At 41.2% G+C, this 20,730-nt stretch overlaps 1 protein-coding gene and 1 long non-coding RNA gene across 10 annotated transcripts in view, besides 1 other annotated feature; one reads left to right on the forward strand and one right to left on the reverse strand.

The window, feature by feature from the left end:
• Nucleotides 1-20,730, forward strand: part of MACROD2 (mono-ADP ribosylhydrolase 2) — a 2,057,682-nt gene that overhangs the window by 1,919,435 nt on the left and 117,517 nt on the right. For 5 of the 8 annotated variants that reach the window (NM_001351661.2, NM_001351663.2, NM_080676.6 and 2 more), the window contains one exon: nt 18,326-18,388. In NM_001351661.2, the coding sequence (NP_001338590.1) occupies nt 18,326-18,388 (63 nt within the window). Of the gene's footprint in view, nt 1-1,791; nt 1,894-18,325; nt 18,389-20,730 lie in introns of all 8 variants that reach the window. The other 3 variants (XM_024451834.2, XM_017027675.2, XM_017027676.2) reach the window with 1 other exon arrangement.
• Nucleotides 1-20,730, reverse strand: part of LOC613266 (uncharacterized) — a 93,550-nt gene that overhangs the window by 22,618 nt on the left and 50,202 nt on the right. Inside the window, exon 1 of one of the 2 annotated variants that reach the window (NR_130925.1) lies at nt 8,282-8,364. The exons of the other annotated variant lie outside the window; for it this stretch is intronic. This is a non-coding gene — a long non-coding RNA (uncharacterized LOC613266). Of the gene's footprint in view, nt 1-8,281; nt 8,365-20,730 lie in introns of those variants that run through there. 2 annotated transcript variants of the gene reach the window in all.
• Nucleotides 8,310-8,469: an enhancer, noted in NCBI's record as "active region_17557". NCBI's record gives its function as "activates an Ori minimal core promoter by ATAC-STARR-seq in GM12878 lymphoblastoid cells {active_cell/tissue: GM12878}" and the evidence as "EXISTENCE:reporter gene assay evidence [ECO:0000049][PMID:35858748]".

Below are 20,730 nucleotides of genomic sequence, written 5' to 3' on the forward strand. Positions count from 1 at the left end.
GGAAAGGTTGTAAATGAACAGCCAGATGAAGCAGTGCATAGGGTGAGATCTGGAAGGGTCCCAAGCGCGGGAGCTTCTGTCCCTATGGAGTTGGGGTGTGCCACCGTCCTAGCATGTCAGTGCATTCATCAACATGGCAGTTCTCCTACTCCTGTTGTTTAGGTTTTCTATGGAGGTTCCGTGACATTGGCATGATTGATGAAATCATTGGCCAGTGATGACTGACTCAATCCCCAGCACTTCTCTCCTCTCCATAGGTCAGGAAATGGGGCCAAAAGCTCTAGCTCTGTAGTCGCAAGGTTGGGTGCCCTGGCAATTAGCCCCACCCTGAAGCTATCGAGGGGCCCACCAAGAACCACCTTATTATTAGGCTTAAACTCAGGTACGATTACAAGTGACTTATGAAACAAAAGATGCTCTTATCACTCAGGAAATTACAAGAGTTTTAGAAGCTCTGTGCCAGGTACTAGGATGAAGACTAAATATATATTTCTTATTTATATCACAGTATCACACTAAAGCATAGGAAGTTCTCAATAAATGGAAAATAAATAGTGGTCAAACCCACCTTTACATATTTTGATGCCAAGTGTCAAGAAGGATTATTTATGAAACTCTTCTCACACAAGTTTCCATTTCTTCCTTTGTACACATGAGAGGGCCTGATCAGGTCAGAAGAAATCACATTTCACACCCATGGTTTTTTGAGCCAAAGGCACAGGGGTGTGGGGGTGTAGGGAGGCAGGTTGGGATGCTTCCTGCTGGCAGTGGTGTCTCAAAGAGCACAAGGCAGGGAAAATAGGGGATGGGTGGAAGAGGATAGCTAGGGTAGAAGCAAAGGAAAATAAGTACAGAGGGGAGGCAGAGAGAAAGGGAGAAGGGAGAGTGCCATGGTGAAGAGTTTGACTTGCCAGAGCTAATTCTTTGTAGGCAATATTAGGGTTTCTTGGAAGGAAATCCCCCGTTATGGACTTGGAAGGTAAAAATCAGTTTCCATAAAAGAGGGAGTATTAGATACACTAAGCTGGATCATGAAGAGGTAAAATGTATGAAGATTAAAAAGAGGATGCAGAAAAGAAAAGGACAAAAATATATTAAAAATTAGTTCAACTCCTGCTGGGTTCTTCACGCTCACAGCTGATTAGAAGGTGGGATATATCTGTGTAACATATTTGTGGAGCCTGCTTAGCTGGAAGTCCTCATATACCCCCTACCCCACCACCCACCTTCCCACACACACCCTACTTTTGGGGAGCCTGGCTCTGGGCTTTTTCTCACTGATTCTTGGCCAGAGACAGCACTCCCTTGCCATGGGGGCTCTCTATAGAGGATGCGTGTCCTCATGAGATGGCAGCTGGCTTCCCTGAGAGCAAGGCACGGGGGAGAGGGAGAGCATGTCCTGGCTTGAAGTGGCAGTCATTTTATAGCCTAATCTCAAAAAGGACATAGCATCACTTTGGCTGTGTTCTGTTCATTAGAACTGAGTCCCTAAACCCTGCATACACGCAAGAGGAGGAGACTTAAAACCCATCTCTTGAAGGGAGGAATCTCTATGAATTTGTGGGCATATTTTTAAAACCACCATCATCCCAAACAGCATTCTCTTTAGTTTCTTGTTCCAAGACTTCCTGCATCCCGACTATGTCTCTGTCTCTGCTTTTGGATTATTTGAGATCTCTTTAAATATTAAATTCCATTTACTGACTTAAGTTCGAAAGTCCTTTCCAATACCATCTGAAGTCTTGGAATCAGTGAAAACATGTCAGACACGGGCACTTTGCTGTCTTGCAGAAAGTAATGACTTTGGTGGACAAGAGGCAGTTGGAGGTTATCTTAACAGAGGATCAAGCCAATTCCTACACTACAAGGGTAATCACTCCGCAATGAGTTCAGGTATGCGGTTTCCTAGGCTGAGTCATCTCCTGCTATTTCGTCAGGTCTCCCCAAAACAGGGGTCAGTACACTTCTGTAAAGGACCAGATGGGAAATATTTTTGGCTTTGTGGGCCACATGTGGCCTCTGCCACATATTTTCTTCATTTTTATTACAACCCTTTGAACATATAAAAACCATTCTTAGCTGGCAGGCTGTACCGAGACAAGCCTCCAGGATGTAGTTTGCAGACCCCTGCGCTAAAATAATCATAGAGAGGTGCTTGTCGTGTCCTTGGAAATATTTTAGATATGCTTTTCCATACCACCCAGCCATGGTAAGAGTCTTCTTTCTGTGTCTCTCAAATTTCCTAAAAGATCCAATTTATCTTACTTCAGACAAAGAGCTGGGAGTCCTTTTATCAGGTTGGATACATTTTACATAGGATTTCTCTCATTCCTTCAGGGAGACAGAAACAGGTTCAAAAATTAAGTCACTAAAATGACTAATGTGGTACTGTCAGAGAAGAATTATGAACCTGCAGGGTTATGGTCTCAGAAAATTCATATTGCGTTTCTATGCCTCACGTGAATAACAATAACCTTCTCCAACAAGCAGAGTGAAAAATGTGAGGACTGCCAGTAAGTATTCCTTACTGCTGGCTAAATGCTGGCACCACACAGGCTTTCTATGGCAATGGGAATTTGTGTCAGAGTTGGCTTTTAATGTGGAAAATAATCCAGTTTCATACTTTGGCTTTTATGTCTTTGCTGTTTTCTAGAACGTCAGCATGCCTCGTGAATGACATTGAACACTCCACAAACCAAACCAAAACAAAAGCCTTTTCTGTGTGTCTTTATCAGCAAGTGAAATCAAAATTGTTGGATGAGAATTCTCAAAACCAAAAAAATCTACGTTTTATTTTTACCAGGGCATTAGTAAGAAATGTATTACTTAGCCCATGAGTTGACAAAAGAAAATGTATTAACATGTATGTGTGATTAATGAATTCATACTAAAAGAGGGAAAAAAGGAAAAAAAAAAAAGCTGAAGGAAGAAACTAAAAGCTGTTCATCATATTAATGTTTTGTAGCCCCAGATAAGTAGTGCTGCTTTCTTATTTTACTCCCATGCCCAAACCTGTAGTACTGCAAAATTGCTGACTCGAGGTCCTACATGAAAACTGTGCAGAGACTTGAAAACTCTTGCAAGAGTGGGGAGTTCTATGAATAAATAAATTGTTTAAAGGGTCAATGAATCAGGTATAAACCTCGTTTTGTAATCATAAAATCTGTGGTCTCAAGTCTGTTTAACGCTCTTAAGGTTTACCTCATAGGACTCACTATTAGTTGTAATTAAAACTGACCAAAAAATCATAATTTAATTGGCGTTAATAGGACAGACTTTGAAGGGTCATATTTTATTTTGGATACATAATGTTTCTTCCTGAAATTATTTATTCTTGTAAATTATTCTGATTTAAAATTTATTAGCCAGTTGTTGAAGAAATTATTTACTTGCCATTTATTTGAATGGTTCAAGTAGTATATGCGTATATTTAAGTATTTATCCTAACATTTTCATGTGATCGGGAAAACTTTTGCTCTAACTTGACATGTTTTAATTGGCGTTTTATGTCACAAGACAGCATTTGTTACAATACCATTATTTGGGGGTTTTCATAAGAAAACCTATTACAGCCTAAATGTTAAAAACTAAGATCATTTAGACACTTCTAGAAGCAAAAATCTTCTGGGTTCCATAAAACAGGGAAATTGGGTTTATCAAGTCCAAGATCATCTGACATTAGTAATGAGATATGGGAGAACTAGAATAATTTATTCTTATAAGCAAACTGCTGAGAAGATAGAAAGACCTGAAAACCTTTCTCAAGCTGTTGCTGTAAGATTGTTCTCCTGCAGTCTGCCTTACGGGTAGTGTGCTCTATCATCCCTCCACCATCGGACTGTTTCTGTCTACTGCTGCCTGCTACATCCACTGCCTCCTCATGGGGCTCCACCTGTTTAGGGAGGAAGGGGCTCTGCATATTAAATGACTGATCCTAGAACCAATGAGGGGCTCTGCATGTTAAATAACTGACCCCAGAAACAATGAGGTGCTCTGCATATTAAATGACTGACCCTGGAACCAATGAGAGGGATGAGGCATTAGACAGACCGATTCTCATTTTCAATGAGTGCAGTCACTTGCAGAGATCTCTCTTTTCATAGATCACAAGGCTGCCTGATATATTTTTTACCAAACATATTTCTGTGGAGAAAAGGCAGCTGGAATTCCTTTACATTTATCCAAAAAAAAGAACATTTGATAAGGGCAAACTTCTGCAAATTGACCGATTTGGCAGAAAGAACAAAGAACATGCTAGAATACTCCTTAGTGAGGGATTCATGTGTCGTTTTATGTCTGTACCATTGTACATACTGGCAATGCATAATTGTCTGTGGCCTACTCTGCCACCAGGAGAGAGGAAACAGATGTTCCTATCTGTCTTTTGATGTGGCTTCTGATACTTACATTGATTTGTCTAAAATAGCATCAGCTACCCTAGAAAATTTTTTTCCTAGTCCTTGAGTTGGTTGGCTAATTGTTTCAGGTGACTATTAATAATGTGGGCCAGGCACGGTGGCTCATGCCTGTAATCCCAGCCCTTTGGGAGGCCGAGGTGGGCAGATCATGAGGTCAGGAGTTCCAGATCAGTCTGGCCAACATAGTGAAACCCTGTTTCTACTAAAAATACAAGAAATTAGCGGGTGTGGTGGTGTGTGCCTGTAATCCCAGCTACTCGGGAGGCCGAGGCAGGAGAATTGCATGAACCTGGGAGACGGAGGTTGCAGTGAGCTGAGATCGCGCCACTGGACTCCAGCCAGGATGACAGTACGAGACTCCATTTGAAAAAGAAGAAGGGAAAAAAAAGGAATGTGATTATCATCTCAAGACGATCCACTGTCAGCGGGTATTGCCCTGTTACAGGGAAAAGACAGAGACCATTGGGAAGTGGACTTACAGAAAAAAAAAATCACACAGTATTTTATTTATTCAAAGTGGAGTAAGACCCCAGTAAGACTTTTTGGAATAGATCTAATGAAAAATTGAGGGTAAATTTAAATTCAACATCAGGAGGTCTTAGCACTCCCTGCTCCATACAGTAATTATAGAACTGTGGTTATAGGTAGGAAGACTAGATAATTAGAGTGTTATCAGTAGTCATGGGAGAAGTGACAGGTTCATTACTAAATAAAAGTAATTTACCCTAAATTGAAAATGACAGCTGATGCCTTCTAAAAGCACAGCTTGATTAGAAAGAAACCATGAGGATATTGGATATATGTAGGAGAAGAAGGAATGGCAATAGATCTGAAATCACAAAATATATGCAGAAAGGAGATGACGGGGGTTAGAGTTCTCCTTTTGCTTAGGCTGGTCCCGAGGGCCCACAATAGGCTATATTCTTATTTATGACATAAGGAGAACAGATATTGGAAGCAACTGTCTCAGACCATCAGTCAAAATGTACAACGCAGACAAGATCACGAAAGGAAAAAATAAGCTAACAGGGGGTATCAGGAAGTAGCATAACTATATTAAAATTGACTGTTATATGCACATTTTACTTAAGAAAATCTTATACAAAATTTCTAGAAGTTATTCTAGAGGGATTTCTACTGGGCTAATTTTTTTTCTCTTCATCTATTTGACCTCATTTTTTATTAAAAGACCTCTGTTGCATTTCTCATGGTCACTGTAAGCCAGAATGTCCCCCTTGTTCCCAGACTCCACAACATGCAGTTTTTCCAGGCTGTCAGCTAGGGTGGAATGCAGGGTGGCATCAAAGCGTGGTGACTGACAGCTTGCCTTTAGCCGGCAAATGATGAAGGCTCAAATCGTAATTCTGCTCCCTGCTAGCTATGGGTGCTTTGGAGAATTGCAGAGACTAGAACAACATTTCTCCACCTAAAAAATAGAATATTCATTATATCTGTATTATTAAGTTGTTAAGAATGTTCTTCAGGATAATTCAGAGCTTTTGCAGTAGAGGTCGACACCATTCCTCATTCTTCGCACCTCCGTCCAACCACTCACCAAAGCCAGTTGGTTCAATCTCTTGAATCTCTTTTCAGTCCATCCTGTTCTCTCCCTCCTCACCTGCTGCCCCTTTATCTCAGGCTTCTGCTATCTCTTGTGGAGTATTTCAATCAATTTCAAGTGGGTCTTTCATGCTATTACATATTCCTACCCCACAAAACAGCCAGGTGAGAGAGAACCCACCCATGGCTCCCAGCTGCCCCCGTAGACATGCCTCACTCCCAGCAAAGGGCACAAAGCCCTTTCTAATGTGACCACGGTCTTCACCTGGCTTCAATCCTTCCCCACTCCATTCGTTGTCTGCTCCAGCCGTACTAAATTACTGTGACTCCCCAAATGTACATGCTTCCTCTCACCTCTGGGGCTTGCTCCCCACCCAGTGAAACATTCCCTCTTTCCTCAACTCATCCTACTTCATTTGCGTGAATATTTCCCACTTAGATCCATCGTGAAGCACCGGCCATCGGCACTCCCGCCCCATAGGCCCCTCGTAAGTCTTTGAAGATGCCAAAGCCTTTCTCACATAAGAGTTCCTGGACGTGCTCTTCACTCCACCTGGAGCGATCATCCCTCTCTCTCCTTTTACCCCATTCATTCCTACTGATTAATTTTGCTTCACAAGTGCCTTAGGCTTATCAGCTCAAATGCCACTTCTACAGGGAAGCCCTCTCCAATACTCTTGTTTGTTAGAAGCCATCTTAGCCACCTACAACCTACATTTCCCTTCGTTAGCACGTATCATGACTGAGGATACTATATTTGCGTAATTATTTGGTTTAAAAATCTCTGAGAGCAGATCCCTCCAAGCACATGCTAAGACAAAGATTCAAGGGCCAGCAGTTGATCTGGGGAGTGATTCCCAGGAAGGGCCAGTAGAGAAGCGGTGAAGTGAGATAGAGAAGGGGAGGAAACAAAAACAGGTGCATGAACAAGTAGATTGTCCTGTGGGCAGCTGAGACTTAGTCCTGCGGGAGGACTCCGGGAAATAGTGTGGATGTGCCTCTGAGGAGTCCCACTCCAGGGGCATGGATGCCAGGGTAGGGGTATTTGTTCGCCCCCTCCTGTCCGTCATTGGTTGAGGGCTGCTTCTGGGATATTAACTCCCCAGCACCTCAGTATTGGCAGGACAAGCATCCTGTTGAGACCAGAAAAAGCCCTCAGGCCGCATATTCAAGAGAAGAAGCCTCTGGTGCATGCAGAAATCAGAGGTAAGTGCCAGGGACGATGGCCAGGGCTTTGACAGCTGTGGCTACAATATCCATCTGTCCCACTGGACTCAGCTCCACAGCTCTTTTCCCCACTAGTTATCTCTAGAGCAGCACTGTTCAACAGAAATATAGCATGAGTTACAAATGCATATGTTGTTTTACATTTTTCAGAAGCCACATTTATAAAAAAGGTGATATTAATTTTAACACTATATTTTACTTAACCCAATAGATCAAAGTAGTATCATTTCAACATACAACCAATATGAAAATCGTTCCTTAGATATTTTACATTTTTTCACACTACATTCAAAATCTGACATATATGTAACATTTATAGCACATCTCAATGTGGACTTGCCTCGTAGTCCGTGGAGTGCCCATAGCCATGTGTGGCTAGTGGCTATCACAGTGGGCAATACAGCTTTAAAGGACAGAGTCTGGGAGAGACTGAGACCTCAAAAAATACTCAGTGACAAAAGTCTCCGCTGGGGCAGTGCCTCCCCTGAGCAAATTTCACTGACTGCCTCCAGGACTGGAATTAGGTGCTTAAGAGCACCTGCTGCCCTCCCTGCTTCCTCCAGCACAATGTTAGCTGTACCTAACTGGGTCTTGTATTCACTCATCTGTCTCCCCAGCATGCTTCTGGAGGGGGTGGGCCCCCAACTTGTTCATTCCTGTGTCTGCAGCACCTGGTGCAATGTCCAGAACAGAGGGAGCTTCCCCAAAGTTTTGCTCAATGATGAATCCATTTTAAGATAAGGTGATTACATTATCATCTTTAGTGAAATTTTAGTGAAAAGGTAAATTCTATACATTGATTTTATGAAAAGTCTATTTTTGTCTACAAATATTAGTATAGCCATGAGGGATTATTCAACTCATGGCTACAGAGATTCAGAATTTGGACAATGAACAATGCAGTAATAAAGTGGGCGTTCATAGCCACATGTAATTAACAAAAATAAATCGCAGCATACTTTCTACTTTTACCTGTTAATACTCTAGAGCCTAGACCAATTGTATTAGTCTGTTTTCACGCTGCTGATAAAAACATACCCGAAACTGGGAACAAAAAAAGGTTTAATTTGACTTACAGTTTCACATGGCTGGGGAGGCCTCAGACTCATGGCGGGAAGTGAAAGACTCTTCTTCCATGGCGGTGGCAAGAGAAAATGAGGAAGAAGCAAAAGCAGAAACCCCTGATAAACCCATCAGATCTCATGAGACTTATTCACTATCATGAGAATAGCACAAGAAAGACCGGCCCCCATGATTCAATTACCTCCCTGGGTCCCTCCCACAACACATGGGAATTCTGGGAGATACAATTCAAGTTGAGATTTAGGTGGAGGCACAGCCAAACCATATCACCAATCATTCTCAAAGAGTGTGGCCACACTCATAGCAGCAGCATCACCCAGGAATTGATTGGAATTGCAGTGCTCAGGCCCTGTCCCATCTCCGCTGAACCAGAACCCAGCTATTTGTGTTTTAACAAGCCCTTCAAGGGCCTCTAATGCACAGTGAAGTTTGAGGACCAGTACTCCAGATAGAGTAATTTCCAAGTTACTCCTTTAGAAGGAAAGCAGGAGATCTTAGACAAGAGCTTCCTGTGCCTAAAATTCCACACAAACAAAACATTTGGTTTATCTGCCTAAAGGTGTGTGGTTTCTCTACTTGCAAATTAATTTCATATGAAGTAAAGAGAATATGTTGAGATTTATTCTGGTACAATGTCAAATAGCGATTAGCAAAACATTTGGCTAAACAAAGCCATTATTGGAAATCTGTAATTTTTAAAGAGAGATTAAATACACATAGACCACCCTCTTGTTTTTATACTTGTCAGTCAGCTTTGGGGTGGTTGTTGAGTTTTATCATCTATGGGATCATACTGAGGGCAAGAGCACATTTTTGGAAAAAGTTCATACAAAATCATGGGAAACCCATATATTGCTTTCATCCTGAACTTCAAAATTCCAAATCAACATCTTTAAAGTTTTATTCCTACTACTTGAAATAGCATGTCTCAACACGGAAGAAACAAGTATTTTAAAGGAAGAAAGTGGTAGAAACACAGAATTGGTTTTTGCTTCCCATGATAATATGGGGCTGCCCACAACCTCAGATATATGTGTATTGAATTATACCTTGGAGAGAAAATAAATTAGGCTATTCAGAAAGCAGGAGACTTTCCCTTTGTGAGTTGCCCCAGACAGACACTTGCACTCACACATCTACATCTTCAATCGTTGACTTCCCAAAGAGCCATTTGGACAATGCCAAGTGGAGAACTGAAGCAGTTACTCCTTTCATCCAGCAAAAATACCCAACATTTATTCATATCTACATAGAGGAAACAACTTTTTTTTATTTTTCTCTGGATGATCATCTCTAGCCTCAGTTTCACTTTGTGCAGGCAGACACATCTCATGAAACCTTTCCATTCCTCTCCCTTCTGTCAACTCCTAAAGGGAAAGGCTTTTGTCTTCTGAATAGCCTAATTTATTCTCTCTCCAGCATCTTGAACGTTGTAGGTACTCAACAAACATTAATTGATGACAAAGCTATATAACAGCTTTTGAATTTATTCATGGGATGATTCTTCTATTTAAAGAACATCTTTATATACTTTCCATTCTTCAGCAAAAAAAAAGCAAAGAAAAAAAATGTTTCATCTTGCCAGTTCTGTATTTAACATCTGCACAGAGCACAGTGTGTGCCTGTTTTAAACAAATGTGTAGGCTCACTGGTTATCTAGATTCAGGAATGTAAAGGACAATACAGAGAAATGTAATTTTTAGAAGAAAATTTAAACTTAGGGCTTAATGAAAAAAATGCAGTTGCTGTTTTATCAGAGAGAGTGAGAAAGGGAGAGAACAAGGAAATCCCATTGTAATGCTATTATGCTAACCTCATTTTGGCCATGATTTTCCCAGTTATAGAGTGGACACCAGGTTATGTGCATATCTGAGAACTGGCATAATTTATCATCAATTTGCGAGCACAGAACAACTAGTAGAATAACTGTGTCAGTATAAGTTGATTTCTAACCTCAGTTGTACCATGAAGTCATTGGAAGACTTTGGGAAAGTTACTTAATTCTCATTTGTTAGTTACTTTTAAAAAACAGCCACATGAATATATTTCTTATTATTGTCATTCCTTAATAGTTATTGATTGTGTACAGGATGCTTTGTATCTCTGCAAGGCACTGCAACTTCCCCAGGGAAGCCCACATTAATGAATAGTGTTTATAAAGTACTTGGAAATCCTTGGATTAAAAACTAACGGTATCAAAGTATTTGTATTAACATGCCATATGGGAGAACCGTATGTTATTTATTAAGAGGCTATGTGTGGTATTGAAAATAGCTCTCTGGTGCATCACTTTGTGCTATTTTTATATCAAGATATGCCACGGCAAGTTTTGGTACGCTTGGGTCATACCTTCAATGTTGAAATGCCTCAAAATTCAATCCTTCCACAGGTATTTGTTGAGCTCCTTATTGAGCACTTGACTCTCTGCTTACCATTACACAACACATATGGAAGGCCCAGTGGCACCTACAGTTTCATGCATTTCGTCTCTTTGAACACGTGTTATTAAACTGAAGTCCCCGTTAACAGACACACGGGCTTAAAAAATTACAGGTTCCATTTTTCCTCTTCCTTCTACATGGACAATGCTGTTTTGAGACACAATGATAGAGATAGGGCTGACACGATTGTCTTGTCTGTCCTAATGGTTGAAGACTAACCCATGAAGCTTGCACCCCTTCTGTTAATGGGGCATGGATGCAGCACTATTTGAGTTTATTTTGGGTAGAACTGGCAGCCAGGAGAGCACTGCCCAGCATTTCCCCAAACTGGCTACACATGCTGCACCACCTTCCCAGAAGGCTGTAAGTCATTAGTCTGGAGAACTATATTGTAACGAGTTCCATACAAAATCTGCCCCCGCCTGGGGAGGCAATTCCTTCTCTTAGCTAGTTGCTCTAATAAGGAGACGATGGCAATGGGTGTATTATCACAAGGTCCTGAGATCTTATGTCGGGGCCAGCATCCTTGAAAAATTCTGTTCTAAATGACATGTGGAACCTCATGCTTCATAAGTAACTGAAAGATCCTGGAATAGAAGATAATCTACCTCTTTTTTTCCTGATTCATTTGTGAACTATCCAGACAAGGCCAGGTAAGGCAAGAGCGTATTTCATTAACTGGAGAATATTTATTGAACCCCTACCAGGTACTTAGGAAACATTGTTTCACAAAGCAGACAAAGACCCTTGCCTCCGTGGAGCTTACATTCAAGGAGGGGCAGGAACACATAAACAATGAACATGATACCTACCTAAATTAGAGGATATGATATATTAGAAGATGATGGACAATTGAAGAACCAAAGAGAAAAAGTTGATCAGGATAAGAAGGATGGAGTGTGTGAGGGTGGGGAGATGATGCAATTTTAAATGGAAGGTTCAGTACAGATCTCATTGAAAGGGGACATTTAAGCAGTAACTTGAAGGAGCTGGAGAGAAAGCACTCCAGGTGGAGGGGTCAGGCAATGCAAAGGCCTGGGGAGAGGAGACTCCAATGTGCTGGAGGAACAGCACAGAGGCCAGCATGGCTGCAGCGACTGAACCAGCAGGATACCAGGAGAGAATGAATGAAGACAGAGAAACAACGAGGGTCTCCACCACGCAGGGTCTTGCTGCCATCAGAGCATTCAAGCAGGGGAGTGGTATGAGCTGCCTCACACTTTAAAACAAACCAGCTAGTAGGCTGAGAAGAGGTGTTGAGAACAAGAACTGAAGCAGCAAAACACATCAGGAAGCCATTGCCACCACCCAGGATAGAGGGGATGGAGGATGGCCCCAGCCGGCACTAACCATTAACTAACTATTAATACTTGTGCTCCCCACACTTCACCATTTGATTTTTGGGAACCATTAGTTGAGATCAAAGACACATGAAATGTTTAAACAAATCCACAATTTAATGAAGTTCAAGCAGAAGCTGAGATAGATATCATACTTCATCTGCCTAGAGAACTGAAATACGATTCAAGGAAAAAATAATAATGCTTTGGGGGAAAATGAAATTTCCCTCCTAATCCCTTGACATGTGTTTATGGAGCCCTTAACAGATAAGGCACTGTGCTGGGTGCCAAGGACACCACAGAAAAAAGAGACATCTCTCTGCAGAGGGCTTATGGCTTAGCTCTTGCAGGTGAGCAGAGGTCTCAGGAATCTGCAAGGCAAGAAAGAGAGACTCCAGGATTTGGCATGATCTGGACCTGTGTTTAAGTCTCAGCTCTGCCACGAACTGTGTGACTTCAGGGAAGTGACTTTGATCTCCCACAGCCTTGATTTCTTCATCTGCAAAAATGGAGATAAAGTCGAATACGACGGTATGACGTTCATGGTTATGTGTGTGAGGTGTGTGAGCGTGTAAAGGCCTGGTGCAAAGGAGACATCTGTAGGAAGCGGCAGCTATGACTCCTGCTAGGTGGAGACTATTCACTGCACACCTTTTTATCTGCACTAAAAGATGCACATGAGGCTCTTCATTAAAACAATGAGGCAGCCAACATGGAAACTTTTCTAAGAGTAAGCTATTAAAATAGATCAATCAGCTAATGACACCTCCAGACAAAATTTGTAAAGGTTTGGAACTAACATTCCCTCCCTCCTTTCCTTCCTTCTTTCCTTTCTTCCTAAAGCCATTAAGCAGGACTGAGAAAAATAGGTGTTTGCATTGGAGAGAGGATGGTGCTGAGGGGTCACAGGGTTTGGACAGAGTCGGAAGGGCTTCTCTGTCCCAGACTACTGTGAACTAAAGAGACACAACAACTGAATGCTGTATGATCCTAGATTGCTATTAGGTTATTCTTGAAAAGTGGCGAAACACAGATGTGATCTGTAGCTTAGATAGCAGGAATGTCATCTATGTTAATCTTTTGATCTGGATGGTTGTATTGTGGTTATGAAAAAGAATGTCCTTGTTTGTAGAAGATATATACTAAAGTATTCAAGGCTGATGGGCATGATTAGGACATGATTATGTCTGCAACTTACTCTCAAATGGTTCAGGAAAAAAAAGTTCTTGTCCTGTTCTTGCAACATTCTGTTGCTTAAAATTATTCCAGAATAAAAATACCTTTAGCAATAAACACAAAACTTTAGAGTTGTAGCACTGCACTCACTTGATATGAGTGCCAGAGGGGTTTGATTCTCAATATTTGTTGTGTTCAATGTTAATTGAGTTAATCCAGATGAGATTATCATTTCCCACATTTTTGCTGATTCATAATTTACATATCTTACCCAGACAATAAATAGTTACATTTCTAAGTAGGCAGTAGTAGGCCCCAACATCAGCTAAGGCTGGGTTGAAACTGTCCCCTGCTGCCATCACTTGCTAGCTGTGGAATCTTAACACGCCTGTGTCTCAGTTGTCTCATCCATGAAATGCAGATAATAAAACCTGCCTCATGCAGTTTTTATGAGAATGAAGTTTGATAACCTTTGCAAAGCATTTAGACACTGAGTGGAACATATGCAATATTCAATAAGTGTTAGCTGGTATTAGCTAATATTCTGTTGCTCATAGAGCTCTATAGTTAAATAAACCATAAACATCATTATATTGATGGCAGTGCAGACTCTTTAAGAGCATTCCTCTGTTATATCAGCTAATTTTACTTTTCAAATATGTACCTTCTAGAGAATTTTGGAACATATGAGATGAAAATATAGATGGGGAAATACAAAATTAAAGACTAGATTTTTTTATAAAAGAGTGCTAATTTTTTTTAAAGTTAACTTAAAGCCTTCCTGAGCTGACAAAAATAAACATGTGTATTAATCAGCTATTGCCATAATAATGCTGTGCAATAAATCACCCCAAAATGCAGTCCCCTACAACAAAAATATTTATTCTCATGCTCACAGGTCTGTAAGATGACTATGGTTCAGCTGATGTAGGCTGGGCTCAGTGGGGTGGTTCTACTGCAAGCTGTGAGTTGCTTGGGCTTGGTTCCAGACTGTGACTTGGGTTCAAACTTGCTCCATGTATCTCTCATCCTCCTTAAGCCAAGAGCTACAGGGGCATCTTCTTGTCATGGCAAATGTCAGGAACACAAGCAACAAATCCTTTTATGCAGTGCATGTAAATCCTTTGCTCACATTCTCTCCACTAGCATTTCATTAGCTAAATTAAGTCCCATGGTCAAGTCCAACATCAATGGCATGGAAATATTCTCTGCTCACAGTGGGAGGACACTGATTTTATATATATATATATACACATATACACACAATCTTATTATAGGGGACTGAAGAATTAAGACCAATAATCTAATCTGCAAAGCACTGGTTTTGAATTGTCCGTAGTCTGTCTGTGCCCAGAAATCTATAGACCTTTAGAAGAAAAGACAGCAGTATACCAGCAGGAAGTACACATCAGATTGTTTCCCCAGTATAGCGATGGATTTATTTAGACTTACGTCTTGTTTATCTTCCTGTCACCATGTAGCGTTCACAAAAGGAACTACAAATATCAGGATAGCAATCCGTGATCATGTTGTTGAGATTTTGCCCTTACAAAACTCTCCCATGTAGAGTCAAACATGGACTGCTTTCTTATCATAGTCACGTTGCAGCAGGAGCCTCTTATTTTATTTCTATAAAATTTCTGAAATGTTCTTGCAAACAGTACACATTTGATAAATATTGGTTGAAAGAGTAGGAGGCAGAGTACTAATATGGGAGAAATTAGAAGGACACAACCAGTAGAATTCTCACAGGTTTCTGTGCTTTTTCAGCATGGGAAAGTAAAGTGTTATATCACACTCGACATGAATGCTATGGAAATTTATCATCTGAAATAAATATGTGATCTTAAAGGAATATTAACTGAGAACATTTAGCTTCTATGTGGCATTATTTAAGCTAACAAAATAGCCTCGCACTTCCCTATATTTCTTCACCGTTATTGTAAGGCTTTTAAAATCCCTTCTGGAAACCTCAAGTTTACACATCCCTCTACTTAATTTTTCATTGTTTATGTGCTTCCTGTGACGATAGCTAGACAGACAAGGCTGATAAAAAAGAAAGCTTGTCCTTATCAAAGACTTACGGGTAACTGTGTTAATGTGCCTTGCTTTTTCTACCAGTGGAAGCCCCCTATTTCACTAAGAACTCACCCATTTGCAGCATTTAAAATGGATGGAAAGTTATAAGCCAGCCAAAATGTCCTTCTAAAAGAATGAAATGAATACTAATCTAATTGCCCAAGAATGCATATGCTGGGCTTGGAAAATAAGCCTTCTACATTGGTTCCCCCTGCTGGATTTGAGGATGCACTGTCTTGGAAATTGATGAAAGCAATATACCTGGACCGTTTTATCTGAGGACATGTTACTGGAATGGCAAATCCAGCATTCTTCTAGAAAGCATTTGCTCTGTGATAAATGTGCCAAGTGTTTCTTGAGTTTGCTTCCCCAGGGCAGAAATACTGCAAATAGAAAACAGTGCCGCTGAGACTCAAAGAGAAAACAAAAGCATGCCACTCAGATGTCTGTTCTAGGGAGGGGGGTAGCACACAAGGAACTAAGGGTAAAAACCCAGAAGCAGTAGACTAGGTAAACTGCCAGACTGGTTGTTACTATTAGAAAGCTGGATTTCAGGGTCTGACCATGGATTTCCTTCTTATGCATTTACAACTATTAGAACCAATTCCTCACCTTTCTGTAATTTAACTGCTGTTTTTCTTTCCCTTCTTATCTTCCTCACTTCATAAGTAATCTCCCTACCCCTACTCTGTAGAAGATGTGGTAACCAGAGTACTTTCAAAGGAAGCTTGTCACCTGCAAACTTCATGGCTATTGTGAAATGTGTTAAAAGGTCTGTCTTTTGAGGGAGACAGAGAAGCTGGCAGATTTTTCCTGCTTGACTCAGAGTCCATTTGGTGGGAGGAAAGGGACAGATATTGGCTAAGTTTTTGGCACATGCTCCTGCACCAACTTGGCCTTGTTAAGACAGCAAGAACAGCAGAAGTGACTATTTCCTCCCTAGAGCAAAGGCCAATGCTGTTTCCTTCATGGAGAACCAGAACAGGGAAAATATCAGATAATCATGTAGTACTTGTAAATATGCCATTTAGAACACTGAATTTAAGTGGCATGCAGAGCCACCCCAGGTTCTCATATTATATTCAGGCCAGGTGTGGTGTCTTATGCCTGTAATCCCAGCAGTTTGGGAGGCTAAGGTGGGAGGATTGCTTTAGGCCAGGAGTTCAAAACCAGCCTAGGCAACAAAGCAAGACCCTTTCTCTCCAAAAAAATAAAAAATCAGTCAGGCTTGGTGGCATGTGCCTTGTAGACCCTGCTACTCAGGAGGCTGAGGTGGGAGGATCGCTTGAGTCCAGGAGTTAAAGGCTGCAGTGAGCTATGAACATGCCACTGCACTCCAGGCTGGACAACACAGCAAGGCTCTGTGTCTATTAAAAAAAAAAAAAGTAGTTATATTGTGTCCACCGTCACAAACGGCACAGGGCTAACCCAACACAGGGGGTCCTGTACGTATATTTATTAACTGCATTCTTCGCCAACCTCAGAGTATCATTCTTTTTTCTTTTTTTGTCCTTCTATTATAAACTTTTTTTCCCCATTTAGGTCAAATCTAAATGTTTCCCCATCTGAAACTTTCTTCAGTAGGTCGTTTTCCAGAGCTGCAGGTAAAATGCTTCCCCACTGCTTCTGAGGCTTTTGTTTCAGCTCTGCTACTAGTGGCCTCCTCTTGGGAGGATTCTCTTGCCTCGGAATTAAGAGTTGGTAGGAGGAGGAGATGGCGGGTCAAAGCACTCAAGCAAGACAACGTTAAGTGATTCAGTCCTGCTTGTGGGTCAGGAATTTTTAAAGGGCTCAGCTGGATGTCTCTTCTGCTCCTTGTGACACTGGCTGAGGTCACCGCTCAGCTGCATTTGGTTGGCAGCTGGCAGGGTGGAAAGGTTCAAGAAGGCTTGGCTCACAGGTCTGGCCCTTCATGCTCCCCACACATCTTTTCTCCCTCTCTCCATGTGTCTCCCTCCATTTGGCAGGCCAGCTTCAACTTCTTTACAGCATGGGGATTGGCTTCCCAGGGGGAGAAAGTAGAGGCTGCCAGGTCTTGCAGGGTAGCTTGTAGGTCCCAGAATATCACTTCCACCATATTTCATTGGTCTAAAGAAGTTTCACAGCCAGTCAGGACTTAAAGAGAAGGAATGGGCTCCACTCCTTCAGAGACAAAGCATTTGTGGCCATCTTTAACCCACATGAATATAGGTTGGTAACTTCTGCTTCTGTTTTCTGTACTTCACTATATGTTTTATACTTTATTCTTATGTCTTTGTATAAATTCATCATTTTTATTTGCTTCATTTTCCAAACCAAAAGCAATTTGGAGACCCTCCCAGCAATGAGTTATAAAACCATGCCTATACTTAACCTTCAAAAAGCTTATTATTTCTACAGATAAATCCACAGATATAGTAGCTATTTTAAGAAAAAAGAAAGTTTCAGATAGTTGCTAATATACAGCCTTCATTGCACCTGACCAGTTATTTTTCAGATAGCTATATATGATAGCATAAACTCAACCAACATAATCTGTTCAAGACAAAATATTTTATAGCATAGGTATGTTAGACTGCCATATGGAAGTTAAGTGAAAATTGACCTTTTTTTTGCAGCATATATCATACAGAGAAATAAAGGGCGAGAAACTTAGCCAACCTTCCTTACACAGTGCATGTTACTTAAGTCAAGGGAGAAAAGTGGACTGGAGTTGAAGTTTCTATTATATTTTGGGAAATGCCGAGCAAGGAGAGACTTGTTACCGGGACTGCTGAGTGAATTTTGTTTACTGCGGTTAAACATTTCATCTAGCAAATCATGTGAGAAGGGATGAGTATAAATGCACTTATTTATGTAGGTAATTTTTCTGTTTCATGCCTCTGATTCATCTCTCTGCCTGGCTTTATGGGGAGTCATGCTACATTGGTTACAATTAATTTCAGTGCTGCATATTAGCCGTAAAGAGATATTTCACAAATTGACTTGATGCATTTTTTTTCCTCTGTGGTTTTCTTGAAAGATGAGAACGGTCCAGAGGAGAAGCAAAGTGTGGAAGAAATGGAAGAGCAGAGCCAAGATGCAGGTAGGCTCAGATTTCTTTTGAGAAGTCACCTAGGCCTCATCTGCAGAGGTGAACAGTAACTTCACTCAATGCTATTGTCTGAAAATGCTTATACATTTCACCAGATGAACTCCAGTGTTCATTCAGGGTCTCCCTCAGGAAGCCACCATCTCCGATAACTATGAGTTGAGTGCTTTCAAACAGAGTGGCACATTCTCACATCTCATTCACCAATTCAATTTTCTGCCCTGTAACAGTTTGCCTGGCAAAGCTCTAAGAGGGACGGGCGGAGGTTGAAAGTGCCAAGGCAGAGCTTGGCTGAGTTAGGTCAAGCTCAAATTAGTACATTTAGCTTGAGGGAAAAAATGAAATAAAAACTGATGAAAGGAAATGAAGAAGAGGCTTGGCCTGCACAGTGAGTAGAATGTTCTTTAGTGTATTGCATTAAATTTTGAAGAGCTATGCTTCAGGTTATTTCTCTGCATATTGCAGGAGATGGTGTGATGGGCCTGACTACCCCACACACAGAGCTCGAAGTAAGATCTAAACCCTTCCTGACATCCCCTCTGTTCACTAAAGGACAGATGTGTCCATTGAAAGTTTATATATTCCACACCGTAGATTATAAATTGAACATTTTAAAATAAAATAGCACTTAAGGCTCAAAAGGGATTGAAGTCACCTGTGATTTATTATCTCTTCCTATCCATTTTTGTACTCAGTCATGCTCTCCTTTAAAAGAATGATAGGCACAATCATTCACTCACCAACATAACCAGCAAAAAAATAAAAATAAAAATCCCTGTTCCCTTTAGTTTCCCAGTTATTCTCCCAACTCTAATAAGCCCCATGGAGGGGCACTTCTGAAGTAGTGAGCCCTACTGTTTGCCAAGCACATCCTAGGCCATATGCTGAACTCTTGGAATTAAACCAGGTAGTGTGATAAGTTTTTCACTGTAAACTTCTTACATTAACCTTGGAGATTTTGCTAGGGATCTGGAAGCTTTTATTATTAACCTGGAAGACGGAACTGAAGAAGGCCAATCAGAGAAAGCACTGAAGCAAGGCAGCAAGGACTTTGTGTACCTGTGACTGGGTCGGCCGGCGTCCTTTGCTGCAAGATAGTCCTTGCAATGAAATGAATTTCTGATGCAGAAAACTGTTGTTATCCAACCCTCCCCCACCCCCAACCCACACATTCTGCTCCATAGCAGATGAGTGAAAAGCTGTCACTGTTTTTATTGTTTGGGGCTGACAAGTATTAGTCAACAAACTGCTGACAGCTGAGGCCATTCTGTGACTGTTGAGGTTTCAAAGGTTTTATTCACTCACTATCGTGTCCCAAACTGTTTTTTTTGTTTGTTTTTTGTTTTTTGTTTTGTTTTGTTTTGTTTTTTTGAGATGGAGTCTTGCTCTGTCACCCAGGCTGGAGTGCAGTGGTGCAATCTCGGTTCACTGCAACCTCTGCCTCCTGTGTTCAAGAGATTTTCGTGCCTCAGCCTCCCAAGTAGCTGGGACTACAGGCACGCACCACCATGCCTGGATAATTTTTTTATTTTTAGTAGAGACAGGGTTTCACCATGTTGGTCTCGAATTCCTGATCTCAAGTGATCTGCCCGCCTAAGCCTCCCAAAGTGCTGTGATTACAGGCACGAGCCACCACACCCAGGCCCAAAGTGTCCTTATCGAAAAAGATTGTTTCCATCCCTGTACATACATGTACACACGCACACTCACACACACGTATGCATGCACTCACATACACATGTATGCATGCACTCACATTTGCCTGTGTTTGATTTATTCATCTTTTCCCTTTAACCAGTTGAGAACAAGTAGTTTGTAGATTTGAGATCCTTTTGCCTGTGAGGAGGGAGTGGTAGAATGTCAGCCCTCTTCTCCAGCCCTTGAATCTGATAGCGTTATCACCACAATAGGGGCACTTCTCAATGTGAAGAAGGGTCCTAAATGCATCCCTGAGTGACTCCCCTTACTTTTCCAAGTGAGCTCGCCGGCCGGCACAGAGGCCAATGGCAGAGTCCACCTATAATCCTGGCCAGTGTCAACACACATAGTTACGTTCACACTGCTCATTTCTTATCCTCCCTAATCAGAGCTCAGAGAAATCGAAGATGTGGTTATGGGTCGTTAAAGCTCTTTTGACCTGCTGGTATTTTTCCAAAATAAAAGTATCTTCTTTTCATTCAATATAATTTCCAGCTTCAATTTTGATTATATAGCTCTGCAGGCCTCTTACACGTCATGAAAAAACACAATCTTAAAACACTGTAATCCAGCAGTTTTGACTGTTGTCATGATCAAATCAGATCAAAGTTGTAGATAATATTCTTCCAAAAAATTTA

This window comes from Homo sapiens, chromosome 20 (genome assembly GCF_000001405.40).
Source record: "Homo sapiens chromosome 20, GRCh38.p14 Primary Assembly".
Taxonomy (NCBI): Eukaryota; Metazoa; Chordata; class Mammalia; order Primates; family Hominidae; genus Homo; species Homo sapiens.